This window comes from Homo sapiens, chromosome 9 (assembly GCF_000001405.40).
Source record: "Homo sapiens chromosome 9, GRCh38.p14 Primary Assembly".
Lineage (NCBI taxonomy): Eukaryota > Metazoa > Chordata > Mammalia > Primates > Hominidae > Homo > Homo sapiens.
In genome coordinates this window covers 68,913,576-68,928,669 of record NC_000009.12, presented here as the reverse complement: position 1 = coordinate 68,928,669, position 15,094 = coordinate 68,913,576, and the positions used below count along the sequence as shown (strand labels likewise).

At 38.8% G+C, this 15,094-nt stretch overlaps 1 protein-coding gene across 14 annotated transcripts in view; it reads right to left on the bottom strand.

Moving 5' to 3' along the window:
• The window catches only part of PIP5K1B (phosphatidylinositol-4-phosphate 5-kinase type 1 beta), a 303,937-nt gene that overhangs the window by 80,507 nt on the left and 208,336 nt on the right, over positions 1-15,094 (bottom strand). For all 14 annotated transcript variants that reach the window (XM_017015189.2, XM_047423951.1, NM_003558.4 and 11 more), the window contains 4 exons: positions 10,911-11,122; positions 9,108-9,191; positions 8,941-8,989; positions 5,284-5,368 (listed from right to left, as the gene is read on the bottom strand). In XM_017015189.2, the coding sequence (XP_016870678.1) occupies positions 5,284-5,368; positions 8,941-8,989; positions 9,108-9,191; positions 10,911-11,122 (430 nt within the window). The remainder of the gene's footprint in view (positions 1-5,283; positions 5,369-8,940; positions 8,990-9,107; positions 9,192-10,910; positions 11,123-15,094) is intronic.

Below are 15,094 nucleotides of genomic sequence, written 5' to 3'. Positions count from 1 at the left end.
TAAAGTACTTGACTGTGCTTTGAAGTGAAATATCTTATTCAATAAGTGGTATTAGGACAATAGTTAACTACCTGTGAAAAAACAAGGTTAGATCTCCCTCACTTCATACACCAAAATGAATACAACATAGATTAAAGAAAAGAAAACATAAACAACAATCTATAAAAGGTAAAAGAAAAATATGGGTGAACATTTATCTGATTATTCAATGGTGAAGTCCTTTGTAAGCATAAGGCTTAACTAAAAAGAATCCCACATTTATGGGATGTAAGATATAAGATGGCAACACTCCCCAAATTCAACACTATCTTTATCAAACTACCAGCTACCCTTTTTCCCCCAGAAATTAACAAACTGATTATAAAATTCATAGGGACATACAAGGAACCCAGAATAGCCAAAACAGTATGAAAAAGAGTAGCTGAAAGACTCACACTTCTTGATTATGAAACTTAACAATACAAACCAGAAGTAATGAGGATAGTATGGTACTGCTATGAGGGTAGGCATATTGATCAATAGAACAGATGTGAGAGTCAAGAAGTAAATCCTTATTATAATTGTGGTCAATCGACTTTCTTTTCCTTTTTTTTTTGTCTGGTTTATGTTCTCTCATGATTTTCAATAAGAGTGCCAAGATAATTCAATAAGGGGAAAGAATAGGCTTTTCAACAAATGGTGGTGAAACAACCGGCTATCCCACATGCAAAAGAATGAAGATAGACTCTACCTCATATCATATACAAAAAAATTAAATCAGAATGAATCACAAACCTAAATGTAAGAGCTAAGACTATAAAACTCTTCAAAGAAAACATGAAAGTAAATCTTCATGACCTTGGGTTAGGCAATGCTTTCTTAGATCACACCAAAGACACCAGCAACAAAAGGAAAAAAATTGGACATCAAAATTAAAAAATTTTGTGCTTCAAAAGACACTATCAAAAAAGTAAAAAGACAACCCACAGAATGGAAGAAAATATTTGCAAATCATATATCTGATAACGGACTTGTGTCCAGAATATACAAAGAACTCTTACAACTCAATAATAAAAAGACAACTAAAAATGGGCAAAGGGTTTGAGTGAGCATTTCTCCAAAGAAGATATAAATTGCTAATAAGCACATACAAGATGTTTAATACCATTAGTCATTAGAGAAATGCAAATCAAAACTACAGTGAGATACTACTTCATACCTACCAGGATAGCCAAAAGAAAAAAAGACAGGCAATAACATATGTCAGTGAGGATGTAGAGAAACTGGAACTCGTATATGTTGCTGGTGGGATTGTAAAATGACACAGCTGCTTTGGAAAGGAGTTTGACAGTTCCTCAAAATGTTATCAGAGAGTTACCATCTGACCCAGCAATTCCACTTCTAGGTACATATTCAGAAGAAATGAAAATACATGCCCATACAAAACCTTGTCCATGAATGTTCGTAACAGCATTATTCATAATGGCCAAAATGGAAACATCCCAAATATCCATCAACTGATGAATAAACAAACTATGGTATATCAATATAATGGAATATTCTGCAATAAAAAGAATAAATTACTGGTACATGCTACGAGGCTACAGATAAACCTCAAAAATATTCTGTTAAGTGCAAAAAGCCAAACAGAAAAGTTCACATTATATGATTTATATGAAATGCCAGAATAGGCAAAACCATAGAGACAGAAAGTAAATCAGTAGTTGCCAGGGGCTGGGAAGAGGACGGAATGGGGAGTGACTGCTAATGGGTATGGGGTTTCTTTTTGGGGTAATGAAAATGTTCTAAAATTAGAAAATCGCTGGGCATGGTGGCTCATGCCTGTATCTGAGCACTTTGGGAGGCTGAGGCGGGTAGATCACCTGAGGTCAGCAGTTCAAGACCAGCCTGGCCAACATGGTGATACCCCATCTCTACTAAAAATACAAAAATTAGCTGGGTGTGGTGGCTCATGCCTGTAATCCCAGCTATTTGGGAGGCTAAGAAAGGAGAATCACTTGAACCCAGGAGGCAGAGGTTGCAGTAAGCCAAGATTGCGCCATTGCACTCCAACCTGGGCGACAGAGTGAGGCACCATCTCAAAATAAATAAATAAATAAATTTAAAAAATTAGAAAATGGTGATGATTGCATAACTGTGAATAAATCAAGAATCATAGGCCTGTACACTTTAAAAGGGTGAAGCATACACATCTTAATTATATCTCAATAAAGCTATTATTAAAAAATAGATAATAAAATCAAAATGAGAAAATGTCAATAGATTTGATTACCCGTGAGTTAAACAACTTGTTCCATTAAAAACCTGAAAAATTATCCAAACCGGAAAAATCTGCGACACATGCCATATTTTATGAAACTGAAGATGCCATTGATTGTACCATTAATTTATATGCCCCTAAGAAAGAAAAACCTCCCAAGATGGGGAGTCTCCTAAGGGAGGCTCACCAAAGCTAGAACATTAAAGGGCTAGATCCTCCAAAACGCACCAGGGGCTGCAGTGAAACCCATGTTTTTCCAACCTTGGCACAGGGCTAAGAAAAGTGAAAAAAATCTTTCTTAAAAATTGGAAACACAGCAGGGCGCGGTGGCTTAAGCCTGTAATCCCAGCACTTTGGGAGGCTGAGGTGGGTGGGTCGCTTGAGGCTGGGAGTTCAAGACAGCCTGGCCAACACGACGAAACCCCATCTTTACTAAAAGCAAAAACCAGCTGGGTGTGGTGATGCATGCTTGTAATCCCAGCTACTCAGGAGGCTGAGGCAGAAGAATCGCTTAAACCCAGGAGACAGAGGTTGCAGTGAGCTGAAATCACGCCACTGCACTGCAGCCTGAGTGGTAGAGTGAGACCCTGTCTCAAAAAAAAAAAAAAAAAAAATTGGAACCACAAGCTGGTATTCATGTAGGCTTGCAGTCTCAATAAACACTATCTTATAGTCTATTTTAGGCCAAAGAAACCTTGGGCAAATAATTTACGGTGATGTCAATTTGACAGCAATTTTAAGATACCACTGAGAGAGTCAAATGTGGAAGAAAGTTTCCCTTAGAGTGAAATAAGGTTTAAAAAGGGGTTAATATCTTTAATACATGGAATTGATATTAATAATTCGGAAAAATAACAAACACCCAATATAAATGGTCAAATGTTACAAAGCTCAATTCTCAAAGGAACTACAAATGGCTAATAAACATGAATAAGGGTTGAACCTTACCAGTACTTACATGCAAAATAAAACAATCAGATAACATTTTTTACTTATCAGAGTGGCATAATTTAAAAACCACAATGCTGGCTAAGGGCTGGCAGAATACGGGCTCTCATGGCCTCGTGGGAACCTTCTGTGGCACAATCTATCTGCGCAGTTACGTGCATTTTATTACCCTAGTACCCCTTTCTTGGAATCCATTCTAAAGAAATAATCCTAAATTTGGACACAACGTTTATCTGAAATTATGTTCATAAACTATTAAGAAATAGAAAAAGGAGAAACAATGTAAATGCCCAATACTGAAAGAATGGTTAAATAGATTCTGGCAAAAAAAAAAATTAGATTACGTCACACTCATACAATTTTAATGTGTTGCAACTTCAAATGGTGCCTTGTAGAATATACAATGATATGAAAAATATAACATTATAAACTATTCATGTTATAATGTTATGTGAAAAAAGAGGACTATACCTAAAATTGTGTACCATTATGCTATCATTTTAACGTAAATACATAAAGTATAGAAATAAAGATTGGTAGAAAGTACATCAAAGTATTAGCAGTGGATATCTCTGGGTTGTGGCATTTCAAGAATTTTCATTTTTTTTTCATCTTCTTGTATTTTCCAAAATGTTTACATTGCAAGTGTTTGACTTTCATTAATTAAAAAATCTCCAATAAATATTACCAGGAAAATTTGTCTTATTTAAATATAAAACATGAACATTCTACTTTTTCAGTTGTGTATGGCTAAATTATCATGTTTTAGTTTATGAAATTGGACCACAGAATAGCAAAATGATAAAATAACTATATATAGGATTATTTTCTCCTTTCACATATCTTAAAAACTTCCCACAGATACAACATATTCATTGTAGAAAATTTAATAAATATCAATATAAAGGAAAATAAGAGCCCACATACTCCCTTGATCTGGAATAAGCACTGTTAGCTTTGGGTTTAGTTTGCTCTTCTGTTTCTAGTTATTCAAGGTTTAAAGTTAGGGTATAGATTTGAGATTTTTCTTTTTTCATTTTTTTTTTTTTTTTTTTTTTTTGAGGCGCAGTGTCACTCTGTTGCCCAGGCTGCAGTACAGTGGCATGATCTCGGCTCACTGCAACCTCCGCCTCCTGGGTTCAAGCGATTCTCCTGCCTCAGCCTCCTAAGTAGTTAGGATTACAGGTGCATACCACGACGTCTGGCTAATTTTTGTATTTTTAGTAGAGATGGGGTTTCACCATATTGGCCAAGTTGGTCTTGAACGCCTGACTTCAAGTGATCTGCCCGCCTCAGCCTCCCAAAGTGCTAGGATTACCGCGCCCGGCCTCCTTTTTTTTTTTTTTTTTTTAAAGGTAAGAGTTTATAGCTATAAATTTTCCTCAGAGCACTGCCTTCACAGCATCCCATAAATTTTTGGTATGTTTGTTTTCCTTTTCATTCATCTTGAGGTTTTTCTAATTTCCTTGTAATTTCTTCTTTAACTCATTGCTAGTTTAAGAGTGTGTGGTTTAATTTTCAAATACTTGAGAAGTTTTCAGTTTTCACTGTTTATTGATTCATTCCATTGTGATCAGAAAAGATACTTTGTATGATTTCAGTCATTTAAAATGTACTGAGACTTGTTTTGTGGCCTAACATATGATCCATCCTAGAGAATGTCCTATGAGAATAACTGCTGTTTTGTATATTCCCTTAGAATTCTGCTGTGCATTTAAGGTATACAGACTGATAACTACATAAAAGGTAAATACATCTATATTTAGCAAACTAAATGTGCTAACACATCATTTTTATTGGGTGCATACTATTCCATTATTTGACTGTATCATAATATATTTAACCAATATATTATATGGTTGGACATTTAGATACCTTCTAAATTTTTTCACCACTAAGCAGGACTCTAATGATTATGGCATCAATAAACACCTGACTGGGTTACTTAACCATAATTACTAAGTGATTACTGCTGCAGGGAGAGAAATGTGTTAGTTCTTCCAATAAAAATCTTGCAAAGATACATAATGAAATTAGCTGCTAAAAGTAAAAAAAAAAATTCATAAGAATCTTACCTTGAATTTTCTTGAAAACTCTGGAATTCATGAACTTAAGAAATCTGTCTGCATAAAAGCTTGGTCTATGAACAGAAACAGTGTCCTGAAAAGACAAAAACCCAGGATCACAGGGTCACCTCTTAATGTTCATCTCAAGTCAGAAGAGAGATCTATGCAATTGGTTCTCTGTTAGCCAACATTCTTAACCAAAGGTGGCCCAGAGATAGAAAACAGGAATGTCCTGTAGCCCGTGGGGCCCAGGAGTCTGGGGCTGAGGGAGGAGGGCACAGACTCAATCGGAACAAAGATTCTAGACACTCAAGACCAAACTGAGCAGAGGAGAGTCAGCAAAAAAAACTGTGCTACATAAATCAAAACAGCTGCCCTTATTCATAACATTGTGTCCCAGGAGGAGTTTTTAAGTTCTTTTTTTACATACAGGCAACCAGTGCATCAAATGTCATCTGGAATGAAGGGTAACTCCCTTAATCATGAACAAAAATTGGAGACATAAACAAAACTATCCTAATGTAAGAGTGACATTGACGTTTAAGTTAAAAAAAGTTCTGGTTTCATCTCCCAATAGCAAGGTGAGGAGATGCTAGGAGGATTCCTAGGAGACAAGGCTAACAGATGACTCCTTTGCATTGAATTATCTGCTGATTGCATAGAGTTGAATTGAATTAAACTGTTAACTCCATTCTTCTCTCATGCTTGGCAGGAGTCTTTAGGGCTGAAGGGTCATTTGATTACAAATCCAGGAAAGGGGATAGATGAAGGGAAAGGAGGTGGATGAAGGAGCTACTTTTCTATGTTTATTTAGTAATCATTTATCCAAATCATGTATCCAAGCTGTACACTTGTAGACATAGTAAATTTGCTTCTATAATGCTTCATTTTGAATTCAGGCTTATGGATTCCAATAGAGAAATTTCTTTTTTTTTGAGACAGAGTCTTGCTCTGTCGCCAGGCTGGAGTGCAGTGGCGGATCTCGGCTCACTGCAACCTCCGCCTCCCGGATTCAAGTGATTCTCCTGCATCGGCATCATCAGTAGCTGCGATTACAGGCACCCACCACCACACTTGGCTAATTTTTGTATTTTTAGTAGAGGGGTTTTGACCATGTTGGCCAGGCTGGTCTCGAACTCCTGACCTCAAGTGATCTGCCCTCCTCGGCCTCCCAAAATGCTGGGATTATAGGCATGAGCCACTGCACCTGGCCCTGCTACATCTTTTAAAATGTACTCTTTCTGGTATCCTGGCAGTATCTGCCTGAAGTGGACACATTCTTCCAACAAGGCAGTAATTTAGAAATATCAGCAGAAGGCAAGAGCCTGAGGGGTATCCATAGAGGATTAAAGTTCAGCCGTTGCCTATAAAGAGAAGTTACATTGTTGTTCGCTTTGGCATGAATAAACATTGTTTAAGTAAGAGCCATGTCTGAAAACAAACAAAAATAGGTTCATGATATATAACCAGCACAGAAATTTTCATTAAAAAGAAAAGAAAAGCAGATGATAGGTATATTTTTTAATTTATTTATTATTTATTTATGACATGGAGTCTCGCTCTGTCGCCCAGGCTGGAGTGCAGTAGCACGATCTTGGCTCACTGCAACGTCTGCCTCCTGGGTTCAAGCGATTCTCCTGCCTCAGCCTCCCGAATAGCTGGGATTACAGGCATGTGCCACCACGTCTGGCTAATTTTTGTATTTTTAGTAGAGACAGGGTTTCACCATGTTAGCCAGGCTGGTCTCGAACTCCTGACCTCAAGTGATCCGCCCGCTTTGGTCTCCCCCCAAAGTGTTGGGTTTTAAATAGAGAAAGGTGGGGGGCCCTTAGATGCACCTGGTTGGTACAAGACTAGACGATTCAGATCCATCTGGTAACAGGAAATTGAAATGGTCTCAGAAAACAGGAGGGGAATGGAATGAGGGTATTCACTCTCTCCCCTTCAATGTTCGAGGTACTATGTATGCAGTCCCTTCCTTTCTCAGCTGGAAGGAAACATTAAATTAACCTACCATATTGACCTTCTTTCATAGGAGGAATTTTTGATCTCAGTAAGATTGAGGTTAATTCTTTTTTTTTTTAATTAAAAAATTTTCTTTTAGAGACAGGGTCTTGCTATATTCAAGACTGGACTTGAACTCCTGGGCTCAAGTGATCATCCTGCCCCAGTCTCTTGAGTAGCCAGGACTACCAGCACATGCCCCTACACCCAGCTTAGAGGTTAATTCTTGGAAATAAATGTGTGAACCTGTTGTTTAAAAGTGCATTATGACTGAAGTCAGTCCTTAGCGGTGGACAAAATGTAGATCTTTCATGCTGAAAGGTTATTAACAGTCTTCCACAGAACTGAGAAATTATGGGCTCCTTTCCAAGAAAGAAGAAGAAGATCATCTATAATTTATTCTCTTTCAAAAGAAAGTATCTGCTAACATCTTAAAAGGAAATGTGTGACCAAATCCTTGACCAAAATATTCTTTGGAATTGCTACTTCAAGTTATTAACTTAGGCCAATAAATGTTGTTAGTAGCAGGAAGTAGAAATCTAATGTCTAGATGGGACTGCGTGTGTGTGTGTGTGTGTGTGTGTGTGTATGTGTGTGTATGTGTGTGAGAGAGAGAGACAGAGAGACAGAGACGGAATGGGAGAAAGAAGGAGAGAGAAAGATGGGAGAAACTGCTCTTTGTTAACTGATTTTTTTCTTCAGTTACATCAATTAAGACATTCTTGGCTGGGCGCAGTGGCTCACATCTGTAATCCCTGCACTTTGGGAGGCCAAGGCAGGTGGATCACCTGAGGTCAGGAGTTCGAGACCAGCCTGGCCAACATGGCGAAATCCTGTCTCTACTAAAAGTACAAAAATTAGCCAGGCGTCGTGGCACGCACCTGTTGTCCCAGCTACTCAGGAGGGTGAGGTAAGAGAATTGCTTGACCCTGGGAGGCAGAGGTTGCAGTGAGCTGAGATTGCACCACTGCACTCCAGCCTGGGTGACAGAGCAAGACTCCATCTCAAAAAAAAAAAAAAAAAAAAAAAAAAGACAACCTCAGGCAGCCAGCATGTATAAATGTTGATGTAGAAATCCATACCAATTAAAAAGTTTTCACTTTCTCTGTGTATTTGTTAGGCATTGTGTTGAACACTGAAATGCATTTTTTTGTCCCATGTTCACACCAAGCAGGTGTCATTACTATCCCCCTGGTACAGGTGAGAAACAAGGGTAAGAGGCCAAATAACCAGCATTGTGCCTGGTCACATGGCTAGTTCAGCAGTGAATGCAGAGTTCAAATCCAGGCTGTTCACCATCAGAGTCAGGACTCACACTTACTGTAGCTTGGTTGTGTGAGAACTTCATTTCAAATGCCCTACTGATCATCCCTACAAAAAAAGACCTCTCTCAAAGTTAGGTCCTTTGGATTTCACATAGACACAGATATCATTTTGTTTTTCTGGCCGCTAGGCTGGATGTCATGTATTTGAAGAGCTATTCAAATTTATGTTGTCCTTATTCTTAGATTTGAACTGATCTACTAACCTAAGATTCTGAGTTTATAAAGACCGTTGTTTCATTTCCTCTTAGAGTCTAGCAACACAGTTTCCTGCACATACTCTGAAGTCTCTGAGAAAGCAGAAATATATACAGTATAATAAGGAAAATAAGTCACTTACCCCATCATAAACAAGAGCTTTCCAGGAATGTTCTAACTTCTTCATTAACCTAAATATAAATGGAAAAATTGAAATGAGAATGTAAAATCACTCTCATTTGGTGATTTTTCAGAACCTTTTGTAGATTGATTTTGAAATAATAAAAGACCACTCCTCAAACTTCTTACCTATATGATTGCAGAATGTCAATAATGCCCATAAATAAAAGTAGTTTTTCTCCCCTATGGCTTTTAGCTGGAATGCCTCCCATTCTGTTGATGGAGCAAAAGAGAAAATATTTGATTACATATTATAAGAATAGGAAGTTAAAAAATCATTTCTAATAAATAGACTGAAAATAAAAATTGACAATTTTTAAGAATTCTGGGCTATCTCCCATTCATCTTTTTTTTTTGTTTGTTCCTTTTTGTTTTTGTTTTTTGGCCATCAGTTAAGGTCATCCTGGGAATCCAGAATGATGTATTAATACTTCCCTACAAAGGAGAATAATATCGTAGCTGCTAACCGTGAAGAGTTGGATGGGAAGAATCCAATTTAAAACTTATTCCTACTTTAAAACTATGAGCAAGAATTTTTAGACCATTATAAAATATTCCTTTTAAAAAATGCAATACTTTTTTCTGATCAAAAGAGTAATGTATGTTTACTTTTAAAAATAAAATACAGAAAAACACAAAGAAAAAATATAATTAAACAGTTATTCCTAGGATGCAAAGATAACTACTTAATATCTGGTATGCTTTTCTAGTATGTGTGTGTGTGTATGTATTTATTAGTCAAGAAAAGGTATTATTTATCATGTTTTATAACCTGATTTTTTTACTTGCTAAATGACAAACATTTCCTTATATTCAATGCTAGCGTGGTTTTTAATAGCCTTATTGTATTTCACCATACTGATATAGGATAATTTAACTGATTATTGGACAGTTAGATCGATTTGCAAGAAAGAACTTTTCAAAAAATATTTAATATGTGTTAATTTCCTTTACAAAAATGAAATATGCCCATGGTTTAGTCATCGTTGGAGAATTCTAGAAGGCAGGCACTTATGGCCTTGGAAAATGATTGCTTTCTTTCAGTCTCCTTGCTCAGCTAGTACACATAACTGATGCAGTCTGCCATTTCAATAACTTACTTTGGTTGCAGTTGTTTCTGTTAGTCAATATGCATTTTACACATGCAAATTAATCCTGTAGTTACTACCACATCTGGCTGAGACGAGAGACCACATCTGTCAGGGTGCAGGACTAGAACAACAGAATCCCCTTAGGCAGACAAAAAGCTCTGAATTGCGAACATCATTCTTATTGTGTATTTGCTTAAAACATCTTTACTCAGGCTGGGTGCAGTGGCTCATACCTATAATCCCAGCACTTTGGGAAGCCAAGGCAGGTGGATCACATGAGGCCAGGAGTTTGAGACCAGCCTGGGCAACATGGTGAAACTCCATCTCTACTAAAAATACAAAAATTAGCCAGGTGTAGTGGTGCATGTTTGTAATTCCAGCTACTTTGGAGGCTGAGGCAGGAGAATCGCTTGAACCTGGGAGGTGGAGGTTGCAGTGAACTGAGATGGCACCACTGCCCTCTAGCCTGGGTGACAGAGTGAGACTCTGTCTCAAAAAAAAAAAATAAATAAATAAACAATAAAACATGTTTATTCAAATTCAAAGTCTATTCCTTCCTCTTGTGGTGAATGTTTTGAATATGTAGTTAATGGGGACAAAAACATTTTCAGCCATTGTTAAAAAAAGAAACCAAGTGGGTGAAGGAGTAATAACTGGAGAAACTGCCACTCATCTAGTTATCTTTAGATGAATAGAAATGGAGACCAGTTTAACCCATTTTAGCACCAAGTAGAAATTAATTCCTAGAGTCCCACCCTAAGGTGAATGTGACTGTCTATAATTACCCAGTGACGTGGGCTGCCACAGTCAAGAGGGTGGGTAGGTGTGTGGCTGCACTTACGTGTCTGGGTTCTCTGTGATTATCCCATCTCCAGATTTCCCTGGACCCTGGATAGATTCCATGGCTGTTGAGTAGAGAACCTTCTGCATCCCAGTCCGCTTAGCATCAGGCACATTTTGTGGGGTCTCCTCCTCTTTCTCTTTGAGGGAATGGTCCAGGAAATGAATTCCCAACAGAAGGCTATAATCCATGATCTTGAAGCTTTCTAGCACCTGAATGAGAAAAAGAACCAGGAAGCCAGTCAACCCAAAGGCCTGTTCGTCTCATCTACTCATTATCAGAGAGCTCTAGATATACAGACACACAGCTCCTGTTATTCCTCCCAGCGGGGTGGCTGAGAGATGAAGAATCAAAATAAAAACACTTGAGGTTATTATTAGGCCACATGCAGGAAGGATTATCACAATGGCTCCAAGATGGGAATTTTATGCAAATCTGAAACAAGCACATGTTTTCTCAACCCTCCATGAAAGTTTCACTAATAGCACGGATTGAGTACTTTCCATGTGCCAGTGCTAGGAAGCTCATTTGCATTCAATCTCAACAACTCTATAAGCTAGGTACTACTATTGTCTATTTTACAGATGAAAAACTGGAGGCACAGAGAGATAAGGTAATCTGCTCAATATCACACAGCACATAAGTGACAGAGACCCAAGCAGTCAACTCCGGTGTCCACACTCTTAAGCAGTAGAGCAGAGAAACCAACAACCAATAGTCTCTACAAGCTTGTAAGTTTGTACGCTTGTATCTTCCTCAGCATGAAGACACAGCTAGAATGTATCTTTTCTAGCTGAATGTATCTTTTCTATGTCTGAATTCTGTTCTCATAAACTTCTTGGAAGTTAGTGGTCTTCTTCTCAAAACCTCTTTTTTTTTTTTATTTTTGAGACAGAGTCTCGCCCTGTCGCCCAGGCTGGAGTGCACTAGCGCAATCTCAGCTCACTGCAACCTCTGCCTCCCGGGTTCAAACGATTCTACTGCCTCAGCCTCCCAAGTAGCTGGTATTACAGGTGCCCGCCACCACACCCAGCTAATTTTTGTATTTTTAGTAGAGACAGGGTTTCACCATGTTGGCCAGGCTGGTCTCGAACCCATGACCCCATGATCTGCCTGCCTCGGCCTCCCAAAGTGCTGGGATTACAGGTGTGAGCCACCGCACCCAGCCCTCAAAGTCTGTCTTTCGAAGGTGCCGTTCAGTTCCCTGTAGCAAGTCCTTTAAAAATATAATCTCAACAAAGCATAGTACTTCATGTTTAATTATCCACTCAGCAGACAGTGGGGAGGCAAGGGAATTAAAAATAGTTGGATGCAGCCAGACAAAAGAGATGGCAATGCTCTGAAAAGAAAATGACAGGAGACAAAGGTCTGGGTCCGAGTCTGTTGAGATGGCTTCAGGGTATAGGTGGGGCTTTGACACTCAGGACCTTTTCAGACGGAAGAGCAGTGTTCAGGAAGAATGCCTGCAAACTGGGTGTTTTCCTCTATGATAAAGTTCTTTTTCTACTAGTCTGTATATGATTCTCCCCTACAACAGACTTCTTAATACCTGGTATTTCTCACACAAAGCTGCTCAGAAAAGCAAGACAACCCTGGTTGTCAGAACGGCTGTCTCTGAACCAACATGAGAAGCTGTTCCTATACTTTAGCTAGGAAACACCCTGAAGGATCATAGCCTATAGATAATTGTTTAGGGATAAAATAATCCAGAATTTCTTGTGCTTCTTGTTCTTGTTCAGCCCAACTGCCTTTTGATATTTATGATATAGTAAAGAGGGGATCAGGCCTGAAGATTCAGTTACCTGTGGCTGCCACTTCATGGATGCCACCTGAGAAAAGGCTTTGTGAAGTATGGCATATGGCCTTCAAGAAATAGGTTATTCTGTATTACAGGCATCTTTGCCATCAATGAGAACTGAGAGTGGGCTGCAAATGGGTATCAATTATTCCAGAGGGTTCACACTTCATCTTTCAAAAAGTCAAGTTCAGAAGGGAGTCAGGCAGGAGCTCAGAGTAGAATCTTATCACTTAAGAGGTTTGGGCTGTGGGATTTCCTAACCCAAGTGATCTAAGAATGGCTTGATAACAATGTGGAACCAGCCTTCCTAATGGAAGGAGGAGTGATGTCAAGTTGGAGGAGGAAGGGAGGGGTGATAGGAAATCCTTCTTACCACTGATCCAATGCTTGAGTACCAGACCCTTTGGCTGGTTCTCCATGGAGGTGTTATCAGTGCCTCACTGCACCATACAGTAGCACAGACCATGGGAGAAAGAAAGACTGTTTTATGTCAGAAGCACCAAGGGCCAGACTCTTAAAAGAAAACACTAACAGATATTAGATGCTTTCTTCAGACAGAAACAAGTGGTAGAAGGGCCTTAACCTTTCTAATTCTCAACCATACTGAAATGATGGCTTGGCAACAGTACCCCCCGAGACAGCTTCAACAACTCTTCACAATGAATGACCATTTGCAGATGCTAACTTCCCTACTCATATTTATCAGTGCTAGCGCTTCCTTTCTCGGAGAGACTTGGATAAGGACATGGGGGATGAGGGATGAAGAGCATGGACTCTGTGACCTTAGGCAGGTCACATCATCTCCTTGTGTCTCAGTTTCCTCATCTGTAAAATGCTGACACTATTACATATCATATAGGGTGCTTGTAAAAATTAAATGTGACAATGCAAGTCAAGTGCTTAGAAAAGTCTCTAGCATAAAGTGCTTAATTAATTGCTAGCTCTTATCACTATGATTATAATTCACGGTGACTCATCCCTCACACTAGCTCAAGAGACAACAGGTGTTCGCTTGAAGTAAACATTCCTAGAATTACACTTCTGAAAACAAATGTCACTAAATTAGCCAACAAAAATAGAACTGTATTGCTGGCCTGCTTACCAGTGTCATTCTGGCAAATCCTAATTCCTTTAGAAGCTCTGGGTTTGTGGATACCAAGGGGTATGGCCTGGATGGCTGACAACACAGGAATTTTCTCTTGTCTTTTTCTTTTTATTTATTTATTTATTTGTTTATTTTTTTTATTGAGATGGAGTCTTGCTCTGTTGCCCAGGCTGGAGTGCAGTGGTGCAATCTCGGCTCACTGCAAGCTCCACCTCCCGGGTTCACACCATTCTCCTGCCTCAGCCTCCCGAGTAGCTGGGACTACAGGCGCCTGCCACCACGCCTTGCTAATTTTTTGTATTTTTAGTAGAGACGGGGTTTCACCATGTTAGCCAGGAAGGTCTCAATCTCCCGACCTCGTGATCTGCCCGCCTCAGCCTCCCAAAGTGCTGGGATTACAGGCGTGAGCCACTGTGCCTGGCCAGGAATTTTCAATTGGCAAAAACACAGTCTTCTGCCCTGCACAGCCCAAAGCATCCTCCAAAGCAGTAAGCTGGCTTCAAAAGCAGGTCCTAAGAAGACTCTGACAATACTGTGGATGTTCCCAAAAGGCACCCAGAATCATTTACTCAAGTTAGGAGTGGTCAAGCTTAAAAACATTCCGGACACCATGATTTTCCTCCACAGAGTATCCATGAATGAATTCTGCTTGTTAAAAACCTTTGTTTTTTTTAAAAAAATGCTTTTTTTATATTGTCATGCAATATTCAACCTCTGCAAAGCATTTTCCTCAGCAAAGCATCCATGAATTAATTGTTAAGAAGATTTTTTTAAAAATGAAATACTTTTTCTTATATTTTTCCTGCAATATTCAACCTGAACCATGTGTTTTGTACTTGCAGTCTTTTTTCCCGGCCCATGAACAGGCCTAAGAGAACTGTGCAATTTTACAGGTGAGACAAAGTCAGGCTGTGTGGTCCAAACTGAACTATTGGATAAAGTAAGACACTATCCTGATCCTGTAAGGGGTCCGATTTTTTTTTTTAAAGAATAAATTCCAAGAGAGAATTAACTTTTGAAAAAGTGATAAAAAATATTAAAAAGAGCTTCATCTCCTCTGTACTCTTCTTTTGGATTGCCAGCATCTGGGAAGGGTGCTGAGTTGTCCTCGTGAGGCCAAGACCCCTACTTTCAGTGTGGAAGGCTTAAAAAAAGAAATTCTATCCCCATATGTGGAAAGCTGGCCATTGCAGTTAGAGTTTGGGTTGGGAAAAATCACCATCGATTAAGAAATCTGAAGGAACAAAAAGAGAAATGTATATGCATATATTTTAAAACAAA